Here is a 12724-nt window from a genome sequence, read left to right on the forward strand (position 1 = left end):
ATTCCATCTGCCTTTGAATTGCCAAAATATGCAAGGCAGAGCATTACAATGTCACAAAATCGTCTTCTGTGGAAATACTGAATGCTTTAAACAACTTATATCCTTAGACGTGATGGTTTTCCTTGCTTTTTATGGAGCCATTGCCTTCTAGGGATAGAAGCCAAATTTTAGGAAGATGTGATTTAAGGCACAGGTTGACAGGCTTTCCCTGTAATGGGCTATAGAGTAAATATTTCATGCTTGGCAGGCCACATAAGATCTGTCTCACAGTCCTTGGTTTTTGTTTGCTTTTACAACCAGTTGAAAATGTAAAAACCATTCTTAGCTACTACGTCACACAAAAACAGCTGGCTGATGTCAGAACTAAGGCTATAGCTAAATTTGAATATAATTTTTTTTTATTATATGCAAAGATTACTTTTTTTTTTTTTTTAAAAAAAAAGGGCAACCAGCCTCTGCTTTTACAATTCCCACTGTTTAGGACTTAACTGTTCTGAAAGTGAGTTTACTCAATCTGTAAATAGCTCTCTAATTGCTAGGAAGTTTGTGTGCATGTGTTTTAACTGAGCTCTCTGTAACTTTCATCTATGGTCTTTAGGTCCATACTACGCTGTAACAAAAGGAAAATCCATTTCTCTTCCATGTGAAAAGAGCTACTCTTATCTTTCAAACATTCCTCAGGACCTAACTACTGGACACATTAGCATCCTAAAAGTCTGTTGCTAATGCACAATTTGGCTTAATTAAACAACTAAAAATCTATGAAATTATTCCAGACAATGAATCATTTGCTAAGATTTCTATATGAAACAGTCAATATAAATTTAAAAGATGGAGGGTCGGGGGACTAGAAACAGCACACATTAAAAAACAATATACAGAGTAGACGCTCAACTTTCTTAAGATGTAATAACAGCCACACAAAACCACAGCTAAAGTGAGTTTCCAATGAATAACAACATATTTTTACATAAAATGTAAAACATTAGTTTTATAAAGTTAAAAATTTTATCTAAATTTGCTTTAAGTATTTTCTCCTTCTAATTCAGTGTTCCAAGTTATATTCATAAAACTCATTATTTCTCACCTAAATTGACTACATTCTTTGCCCAGAAGGTGGGATCACAATGGAAACGTATTGCTCCATTAGCAGCAGGGACAGGATCACACCGTGCTTTCAAAATATGACGCAACTGGAAAGTAATCTTAAAGGGAAAAAAATCCACATTAGTCTCAAAATTAAATATCAATTGGGAAATCATAAGATAAAGACATTAAGAAAAAAAAGCACATATATTCCCACAGTGTCAGCCTCAGATTAGGCAGCATCAACATTTAAATTAGCAATCAAATCAAATATACATACTTGAATTTCTGCCATTTTGGGTAATAAAGTGCATTAAGATACTAGGTATCTTCAAAAGAGTACATACTATATAATTCCACTTATATGAAATTCTAAAAAATGACAGAAATCAGATTAGTGGCTGCCTAGTGGAATGAGGAAACTTTGGGGGGTGGTGGAAGTTTTCTGTATCTTGATGTGGTGGTGGTTACATTTGCCAAAATTAAAATGTATACTTTAAACAGGTGCAATTCACTGAATATATATCTTAATAAAGTCCATTAAAGAAAAATAAAAACAGTATGTGTCTCACCAGTCGCTTGCTGTATAGTAGTGCTGTGCTGCTGCCACTTGCAATTGCCCAATTTGTGAAGTTCATAACATGCTTCACCTGCCGGGAAAGGCCTGTGATGTCATTCTGCTGCTGTAGTAACTTCATCTGTCTTTCCTTTGTAACATTCTGAAACAGAACAAGAGCTTCGCTGTAGAATTCCATATGAAAAAAAATCAACCCCACATTTCTAATGCAAATGGGCACAATACCTATACTTCCTTTAAAAATGGGCTAAGTGAATAAGCTCCATGATTATTTAGCAAGCCTATCATCAGAGGAAAAGCCACTAACAAAAGTGGGACTAAAAGTCAGTTCTCTAAGCTAAAAAGGATATTCCACATATAGAAATGAATGTTAGTTAATGTCACTTTTCTATCAACATGTCTGTTAAAAATAGTGTCTTCCTATTAGATTAATCTAATATATGGTATTTATAGCATAAGGAGCTAACTTTAGAAATAAATTTATGTAATCTTAATATACTTTAAAGGCCAAAAAAATTTTGTGTCACCAGTGCCACCTCCTGGTATGGCATGAGAATGAAGTTAAAATCTCTCTTAAATATATAAGACAAAATGAAAAAGATAACTTCCAGAGTTCTAAGAGTAGAATTAGGGAAACTTTTGATATCACAGAAGTTCACAGAGAACAAAGAAGTAAGGACTGACCAAACTGCAAAAACCAATTTCAGAGAAACACTGCAAAGGAAAAATAAACTGCTTTATGGGAACTAAAATCACCCCAGGAGGGATGGGTAATGTCCTACATACTTTTGACATTCAGCATGCTGAACAACTCATCTACTACTTTCTTAAGAACTTTCTCCCAAAAATGACTCAAGTTGGTTTTTCTGGACAATATTTTTCCTAAGGAAAGAAGCTGTTCATTTTATAATGTAAATCAATGGATAAGAGTATTCAACTGAGAGAAGTATGGTTTACTACATTTCTTTTATAAAGCTTAGAAAAACGTTTCTTCTACAAAGTATAAGAACATATTACACTAGAAAACATCTATTTTAAATTTATCATCATGTTAGTAGTATGTGGCGTATTTACCATTAGGTATTTGTATACACTTTAGCCTTAAGAGGCTTTTTTTTTTTTAACAGAGTCTCACTCTGTCCCCCAGGCTGGAGTGCAGTGGTGCAATCCTGGTTCACTGCAAACTCCACTTCCCAGGCTCAAGGGATCTTAAGAAGCATCTTTTAATTCAGAAACTCTTGAAATGGTTTTACAAATACTATTTTAGACGTACAGCTCAAATGTATTACAGTAAGTTTAAGTGTATCAAAAATAGTTACTAAGTGCTCTCTATTCACATGGGTCCTTTTGGGGGGAAAAACCTATTAGGGTTAAATGCAACAGACTGGTGTACAGTAGGAAAAGGGACCCACAACTTTAACAATCTGCACAAGAGTACTTTTTTTTTTTTTTTGAGACGGAGTCTCGCTCTGTCGCCCAGGCTGGAGTGCGGAGGCGCAATCTTGCCTCACCGCAACCTCCACCTCCCGGGTTCAAGCAATTCTCCTGCCTCAGCCTCCTGAGTAGCTGGGATTACAGGCATACACCACCACGCCTGGCTAATTTTTGTTTTTTTTTTTTAGTAGAGATGGGGTTTCACCATGTTGGCCAAGCTGGTCTCGAACTCCTGACCTTGTGATCCACCCACCTCAGCCTCCCAAAGTGCTGGGATTACAGGCGTGAGCCACCGCACCCGGCCAAGAGTACTTTTAATCTCACAAATTGTGTTTCACTGGAAAGATGTATTCCATTCAGAGATAACATTCTACTGACATCATTTCATTTTTATGTAATTATTCACCTAATATTTTTAAAGGATTCTATGAAGAGATGGGACAGAAAAAAAAAAAAACTATTGACAATTTGAGGTTAATGGAAATAATCAAATAAATCATTTCATTATTACTATTCAATGGTGCAGAAAAAATAATCCCCATATCATCTGAACCTAGTTAAGAGCATGAAATCTTCAATCAGAAAATATTTCTCTTTCCAAAATTTCAACTTTCCAGAGCATGAAATTTTCAATCAGGAAACATTTCTCTTTCTGAAACTTCAATTTCCCAGAAAACTCCTATTTGAAATTTGCTAAAAATAAATCAAATCGGCAGTGGAGACTTTGATTAAAAATTTAGATTTCATGAACTGACTAGATTTTCATCTAGAAACTTACACCTACAAATAAACTTCAAAATATGCAATATAAATACCTAATATCACAAAATTTTCACTAAGTTTAAGGTTTATAAATTTCAAAAAGAGCAGCATTTTCTGCAAAACTATGGAAATATTTTTAAAATAAGGTAAAATACACAAATGACTCAAGCAGAAGCCCAACATGAATCTATATGGTAAAATTAAATTGAGGCCCCATCTTAAGGGGGTGGGGAAGAAATGTGGTGGGACTACTTTGCCTTTACGTACATCACATTTTAGTAACATTTCTTTTTTCTTTTTCTGTTTTTCATTTTGGAGACAGGGTCTCACTCTGTTGCCCAGGCTGGAGTGCAGGACACAATCACAGCTCATTGCAGCCTTGACCTCCCGGGCTCAGTCGATCCTCCCACCTCAGTTTCCTGAGTAGCTGTGACTACTGGTGCATGCCACCACCCTGGCTAATTTTTGTATTTTTTGTAGAGGCAGGTTTCGCCATGTTGCCTGGGCTGGGCTGGATCCCGGGGCTCAAGCGATCTGTCTGCCTTGGGCTCCCAAAGTGTTGGGATTACAGGTGTGAGTCACCATACCCAGTCTTAGTAACAATTATTTGATTTCTAAGAGGACATCACTATTTCCTAAGGTATACAGCTAAAGTCAGTGTTATTAAATTGGGCCGCAAAGTAACTAACTAGAAAAGGTCTCTTCCAAAAGTAAATTTTAAAAACCTTATTTTACGTTTTCCTTTATTTCCATACCCCCCAATCCATCTAAAATAGTTTTCAATAAACATTAAAAACAGCTAAAGAGCAAGAGAAGCAGTTTTTGTTTTATTTTGGCTTTGAACCATACCTCTAGCTGTTGTAAGAGAGATTTTCCTTTCTTATTAATTTCATTGATAAGGGTGAAAATGGCCACTTTAATTTCCTGTTCTACTCGTTTGTTAGTCTCATTTACTTCTTTTATCCTGAATAAGAGAAATGCATCATTAGGTTATCAACTTATCCTAGGTCTCTGAATCATCAACTGTTACAGAAATTCATCCAACTGGGCACTTAACCGAGTAATTAAAATGAAAACTTTGTCAAAATGTACAACTCATGTTTCAGCAGACCTGACCAATTTGGTCCAAACAAGTTATGTACATAGACAAATAATGAAACTAATATTTAGTAATTTTAAATTATGCTCATAAAGGACAGTTTATTAAGCTGGATGGCAATCTACTTAAGTAACTATGACATGAATGTGATGCACAAACACCAGTGACTTCTGGATAGTGTCAAATGTGGCACATTGGTTCTGTTTAACCTTGACGTTTTCCAAGAACAATGTGCAAAAGGACAATGTCACAAGCAATAATTATCTTTTGAAAGGATAATAGTTAAACATAGAAGCATTTATTTTCATTTATAACTTAGCCACTTCAAACATGGGTTCTGATACACTCCCTTCAAAATTACTCTTAATATGGTTTCCCTTTGTATACAGTAAAGGGCATAAAACATTTTCAATCCATTTTTAAGAATAGCTTTAGATGTTTTATAAGTAGGTGTAAGCACTCAAAGCAGTTATGGAAGTTTTAGGTGCAAATATGAAGTGGCTGATACTTTGGTATTTACAAAACAGGAAGTGGATAATCCCACCACTATAAATATATAAAATGTCAACGACCAACCATAAGACATAGCTTCAATTTTTATACATTCTACTTCTGTAAAAACTATAACCCATGCTTTCAGCTCCTAAACTGCCTTTCATTTGCCAAGTTCGAATTTAGTTAACTTTAATACACTCCAAGAAATAATGTAGTTTTTTTCCTTCTCTGTACATCGTTTGGCACTTACTTGAAAATTTTGAGTTTTGTCCTTATCTTACTAAGGTGAGTGGAAGATATTTTTAATATATAAAGGTACTAATAACTAGTGATAAGAAATATAGGTTTCAAATATAAAATGATTGGGCTGAAGATAGAAATCACTAAGCATGCTGAAAACAGAGAGTAGTTAGAGAGTAGTTAGTCTCAGTCAGACTCCTATTGGATTTAATTAAGTCTACTGTATGTTCAGTTTTGAAGAAAGAAAAAAATGTACATTAAAAAATAATGGAGATAGGTCAGTGAAAAATGTGTCTAAAAGGGGAAGTTATCAGAGATTTTAATACTGTTTTTTTAAAAACTTTCTACAGATGAAATCAATCTCCTCAACCCCGTGCAATCTTGTAACAGGTAAACCTCTTGCCCTACTTTTGTATACAGATTCTGGAACACGTGTACAAAATATATTTAAAAAATACTTATACAATGTACACACAAAACATCTGTATAAAAATATGGGACTGCCATATGAATCAACTCACTACATTTCCTTTGAAAGAGACATCCATCTATCATTTCTGAGAAACAGTCTTCTCCAAATCAACTGTATCACCAGTTTAACCTAAAACAACTGAACATTTCCAAAAACAAAAACCCACCAATGGAGTGTGTGTGTGTGTACAATCTACAAGCTCTAAGGAGCCTTTTATTTTCTTTTGGTGTTACTTAAGATAAAAAGTTCTGGCCGGGCACAGTGGCTCAGGCCTATAATCCCAGCACTTTGGGAGGCTGAGGCAGGCGGATCACGAGGTCAGGAGATCAAGACCATCCTGGCTAACACGGTGAAACCCCGTCTCTACTAAAAATACAAAAAATTAGCCGAGCATGGTGGTGGGCGCCTGTAGCCCCAGCTACTCGGGAGGCTGAGGCAGGAGAATGGCGTGAACCCAGAAGGTGGAGCTTGCAGTGAGCAGAGATTGTGCCACTGCACTCCAGCCTGGGCGACAGACCGAGACTCCGTCTCAAAAAAAAAAAGTTCTACCATGTGTAAAGTACTATTTTCATTCATTCATTCATTCAATTATTTAATACTTTTGAGCATCTACTATGTGTCATTTTAATCATAAATTAATGAACTTTAATATTCATTAGAAGTCCTAATATTTTTGAGTCTATAAACACATATTAACCTTATTCATACCCCGAAGAATTTTAGTTTTAATTATGCCAGCTCAAAGTGTTTGTCTTTCTGGTGTAAGAGTCATAACTTTGTTAATCTGCTCTCTTATGGAACCTACTCTCACTTATCAATAAATTTACTTAGAAATATACCAAAGTAGAATACTTTTTAAATAATAAATGGTGATGATAATTATAAATACAATAGCAACAGCTAAAATCTAACTGCTTACTATGTACCAGAAACTATATCATGTATTCATCTTATAATGCTACTCATTAAGATAAGCACTGTTTTCAATGCTTGTTTTACAAATGGGGAAATAATTGGTCCACCCGTGATACTCTCTTCTCTATACTGTATCTTCCACACAATCTCCACTTTAAATTTTATAAGTCAACTCTCTCCATATTAATTTATTTGTTTCCACATTTAAGGTTTAACACAGACCACAGTCTTATTAAAATAGACAAAGATGTGTCCTAAAAGGGTATACAAGAGTTTGGTCAATTAAATTTTGTTTAATTGACAAATATTATAATCCCAAATTCATACCATTTCCCCCTCAAAAAAATGTTTTCTTTATATGCTTAATATAGCAGAAAAACAGATTTAAACTGGACCCACTTCTTTTTAGTAATTCTTAAAATTATGGTTTTAAGGCAACAAACTTACCTATTCTGCACCTGAGTAGCTGCAAAATGAACATAATTCTTCTTCTCAAGAAGTTTCGCCAGTAGATTCTCAATTGCACCCTTCTGATTTTGAAAAGCTTCTTCCAAAAACTGATACCTTAAAACCAAAACAAAACTACATTTAAAACAAAACATTTATGATTAAGATTTTGGAAATAAAGAACAGCTAAATGAGTCAATCTTGAAACCTTAATTAAGTGATCAACTCTATGCTGGCCACTCATACCTTATCTCAACAGCAACTTTTAACTGGCAATCACCCATCTCCCTCCAACTCTGACCCTGAAAGGCCATTATGAAAGAAAAAAATTACTCAGATAATGGTTGAGTGCTCTTATATTAGAGTGTTGATTCAGGATTACATCTTTTTAAAAATTCAAATATTGGCATAAGTTGTATACATTTTAAATCATAAAGCGTAACCACATTATAGAAAATACTATAAAAGGAAGGGAAATCACCCATAGTTCCAACATCACAAAATTACTGCTACCACTGTAATATATAGTTCCTTAATCTTTTAATTATACATGTACTTATTTACTTATTTTTTAATAAAGACAAGGTCTATGTTACCCAGGCTGGTCTCAAACTCTTGGTCTCAAGCAATCCTCCTGCCTTGGCCTCTCAAAGTGCTAGGATTACAGGAGTGGGCCACTGCATGTGGCCTAACTATGCATTTTTAAATGCAATTATAATAATAATGAACATGCAAATTTACATCTGACTTTTATTCTTTATCTTGTCTTTATAATTACACTTAAAATAATTTTTCAGTTCTGGATGCCATGTACTGTCAAACTTTCCACAAGGGTTAAATCAATAAAAAACATCACATCAACACCAGTTTTACTTTGTCAGCATGAATGCTATATGTTAAAATTTTCTAATCATAATAGTGCAAATATAGACTCTAATAACATTTCTTTGGCTACTAGGAAGCTAGAATAATAGTTTTCTTTGCTACTTTTATTTCCTTTTTGTAAATTATTTATTAGGTTTTTAAGTTATTAAGTCAACAAATATTATTTAGTTTTTTTCTATGTCCTTTTTACATGGACTAAAGAATCCATTATTGTTTGTACTACTAACAAATAGTCACAAATACAAAATGATACCATACTGTGACAAGAGATATAATTCACGTATATATAATTTACAAGAAACCACTGCCTAAATCGGCCTCAATACCAAGAAAAGCACAGCAGAGAAGAACAGCATCTTATGCTAGGTACAGAGGCATGTTTGAGACATGTAAATACTTCAATATGGCCAAATAAAAATATACAAAAGTCAGAATATGAGACAACAACTGATAAAATCCACACATAAATACTTCAATATGGCCAAAGAAAAATATACAAAAGTCAGAATATGAGACAATAACTGATAAAATCCAGAGGCAAACTGTGAAGGGCCAAGTATAGCACACTATTTGTGCATTTAATTCTCTAAGTAATGGAAAACCTCTGAAGAATTCTAACCAGAATGTAATAATCACATTTACATTCTAGGAAAATCATCAAACAGAAATATAAAAGACCCAAAGAAGGGAATAGAAGGGAAAGACCAGCTAAAACTCTAAGACAGTAACTCATATCAGAGATCAGGGTACAGTACTGGTTGGTACAGCCAAACAAACAAGCTGGAACTGACTTTATCAGTGAGATCAGCAGATTTGAGAGGTTATGTGTCAGTTATGGCAAGGTCCATGGTACAACCTGAAAACTAAATGCCTAGCTAAGGCACAGTCAAGAAACAAATCATTGGAAATGAGTTCACAATTACTGTGTAATTGTCTATATGGGCACTAAAATCACAAAAGTAATAATACTATGAGCATCTAAATGTCCATTGTTTCTTCAATGAAAGTCTCAGCTAAGGCAGACAAGAGGAAAGACTATGAAATTGTTAACATAAAGGAAAGTTTGTTAAGATAAAGGGAAGTTTACTTAGTAGTGGGATACAAGAGGTACAAGAAGAATGGAGGACAGTAGGAGAGAAAATGTAGATCAATATGGGAATTTCTGTTATAGAAAACTGCTGGTGCACTGACTTTATTGTGGTAAAATATACGTAGTAAAATTTATCCGTCTGAACTTTTTTTTGAGTCAGGGTCTCACTCTATCACCCAAGCTGGAATGCACTGGAACCATCACGGCTCACTGCAGCCTCAAACTCATAAGCCCAAGCAATCCTCCTGCATCATTCTCCCGAGTAGCTGGGACTATAGACACCCGCTTTTTTTTTTTTTTTTTTTTTTTTTTTTACTTTTTTGTAGAGATGAAGTCTTGCCATGTTGCCCAAGCTGGTCTTGAACTCCTGGTCTCAAGTGATTCTCCTGCCTCGGCCAAAATGCTAGGATTACAGACACGAGCCACCACATCCAGCCCAATTTAACCATTTTTAAGGAGAACATTTTTAAAGCTCAACTGTCTACAATGTTGAGCAACATTATAACTTGTATAAGATATTAATAGCACAGGCCAGGCGTGGTGGCTCACACCTGTAATCCCAGCACTTTGGAAGGCCGAGGCAGGTGGATAACGAGGTCAGGAGATCGAGACCATCCTGGACAACATGGTGAAACCCTGTCTCTACTAAAATACAAAAAAATTAGCCCGGCATGGTGGTGTGCACCTGTAGTCCCAGCTAGTTGAGATGCGGAGGCAGGGGAATTGCTTGAACTGGGGAGGCGAAGATTGCAGTGAGCCAAGATCACACTACTGCACTCCAGCCTGGTGACAGAGTGAGACTCTGTCTCAAAAAAAAAAAAAAAAAAAAAAAAGATACTAATAGCACAAAAAAGCACGTGAATATTTTCAGAGAGTTTTTTTGTTTGTTTTTGAGACGGAGTCTCGCTCTGTCGTCCAGGCTGGAGTGCAGTGGCGCAATCTCAGCTCACTGCAACCTCCACCTCCCAGGTTCAAGCAGTTCTCCTCCTCAGCCTCCCGAGTAGCTGGGACTACAGACATACACCACCATGCCTGGCTAATTTTTGTATGTTTAGTAGAGATGGGGTTTTGCCATGTTGGCCGGGCTGATCTCAAACTCCTGACCTCAGATGATCCGCCCACCTCGACCTCCCAAAGTGCTGGGATTACAGGCGTGAGCCACCACTCCTGGCAAGAGGCTTTTAAAGAGGCTTTACTGTTAGATAGGGGACCCGAAGTTTGTTCCTTCGTGAAAGAGCAACATTTGATTTATCCCACATACTATGATTTCTCTACATCCAATAAAAACTATTACTATGTTAAATCTGAACAAATAAAGCAGAAATATGAGGATTCCATGTTAACCCTTTTGACTTAGCTTTATTTACATTGTGATGAAAAACAATCTTTTTGAAGAATTTGATGATGTCAACATATACGCATTTGATAGAAAGGTTAACTAGTATCAAAATTCACAAAATTCTAATTCATAAAATTTAACCATGTACAAATTCCCCTTATCCCAAAATAAATATTTTTCAAAGTCCTGTTTCTAAATATATCTTGTTACATTCATGTGAACAAGAAACAAGCAAACACACACTATTTTCCTAAATATGATATACCTAGGTAAACTGAATTTTCTTTAATCAAAATTACAGCTGAAATGTGGGGAAAGAATAACCAACAAATGAACTAAATGTAGTTTTGATTAATACATAAATACTTCAAAGTAATTTCTTAGATTTTAATCTTGCATTTTAAAGTAGTATTTATTTATTTATTTAGAGACGGAGTCTCGCTCTGTTGCCAGGCTGGAGTACAGTGGCACGATTTCGGCTCACTGCAACTTGTACCTCCTGGGTGCAAGCGATTCTCCTGCCTCAGCCTCCCGAGTACATAGGACTACAGGCATGAGTCACGACACCCAGCTAATTTTTGTATTTTTAGTAGAGATGGGGCGTCACCATGTTGGCCAGGATGGTCTCAGTCTCTTGACCTCATGATCCACCCACCTCGGCCTCCCAAAGTGCTGGGATTATAGGCGTGAGCCACCGCACCCAGTCTAAAGTAGTAATTCTTGTGGGCTTTCTTAGTCACAATGAACTATTCTCCATATTTCAAAATAGGTAAAATAAAGTAAAAATGATGTATGCCCAGGATTTAGTTAGGACAGACTAAGTAAAACTTTTTGTGCTTCTGGCTAGAATTATATAAACCTGGTAAAATTATCTGGTTTTGATCAGAATTAATCAGCATGCTTAGCTTTTTTAAATTATTGAGATATAAATTATATTTAATACAGTTTTGTAAGAAGTTTATGAAAATATGGTGCTCATGAGTAAAGGGTAGGAGATAAATAATAAAAGGGTGTTTTTTGCTGGGCACAGTGGCCCACACCTGTAAGTCCCAGGTATTCGGGAGGCTGAAGAGGCTGATGTAACAGGACCACTTGAGCCCAGGTCAAGGCCAGTCTGGGCAACATGCATACAAATATACATGGATGGGTGTTTTTTAAAAGGCTGAGAATCACTTAGCTAATAACTTCAAACTTCTGAATGTACATTATGGTCTTACTAAGTCCTGTGCCCTACTACTCTACTTGCCAAGTGATACAGTACTATTCTTAGTAATTGTCACTGTATATATTAAGTTTTGATTTTGGCACATCTAGGGAAAAATGCATCATAGTGCTTTATATCCAAACTGAATAAGAGAACCTTTTTAATAAAACCCAGTTTCATTTTTCTTCAGTTATTCCATTTTTTTAAATTACATTAAATTTCAAACATGTATTAGAAGTCTAATTCCACTGAATCGATCACCCATTTTCAAGAAGTATCCATTCATAGCTGATTTTATCTATACACCCACTCACTCCATCCCTTAGACTACTGTGAAGAAAACTCCAAACATCATACTTTATCTAAACATTTCTCAATCTATAGATGGCAATAGCCTATTCTGATAACTTACTACATTTTCAGGCACTGGGCTAAGTATCTTAACATGCATTCTCTCATTTAACCTTTAGAAAAACTTAATGACTTAGATACTACTACTATTTTCATAGTTAAAAGCTAGATGACTTTGACAACCCTCTGTGTCTCACTTCTTCTCCAGTAAAATACAGAACAATCATCATATATACATGCACAGGACTGTCCTAAGAATTAAACTGGTCAAAACACACAAAGCAAAGCACTTAAGGCATACTAAGGATTTAATGCTTGCTATCACTGT

The 12724-nt window shown here is 35.5% G+C and overlaps 1 protein-coding gene across 7 annotated transcripts in view; it reads right to left on the bottom strand.

Annotated features, from left to right (window-relative positions):
* Window positions 1–12724, bottom strand: part of TRIM33 (tripartite motif containing 33) — a 118414-nt gene that overhangs the window by 33300 nt on the left and 72390 nt on the right. For all 7 annotated transcript variants that reach the window (NM_033020.3, NM_015906.4, XM_047422512.1 and 4 more), the window contains exons 5-8: window positions 7528–7644; window positions 4709–4823; window positions 1659–1805; window positions 1088–1205 (exon numbers count right to left, since the gene is read on the bottom strand). In NM_033020.3, the coding sequence (NP_148980.2) occupies window positions 1088–1205; window positions 1659–1805; window positions 4709–4823; window positions 7528–7644 (497 nt within the window). The remainder of the gene's footprint in view (window positions 1–1087; window positions 1206–1658; window positions 1806–4708; window positions 4824–7527; window positions 7645–12724) is intronic.

The sequence above is a fragment of the Homo sapiens genome, chromosome 1 (genome assembly GCF_000001405.40).
Source record: "Homo sapiens chromosome 1, GRCh38.p14 Primary Assembly".
Lineage (NCBI taxonomy): Eukaryota > Metazoa > Chordata > Mammalia > Primates > Hominidae > Homo > Homo sapiens.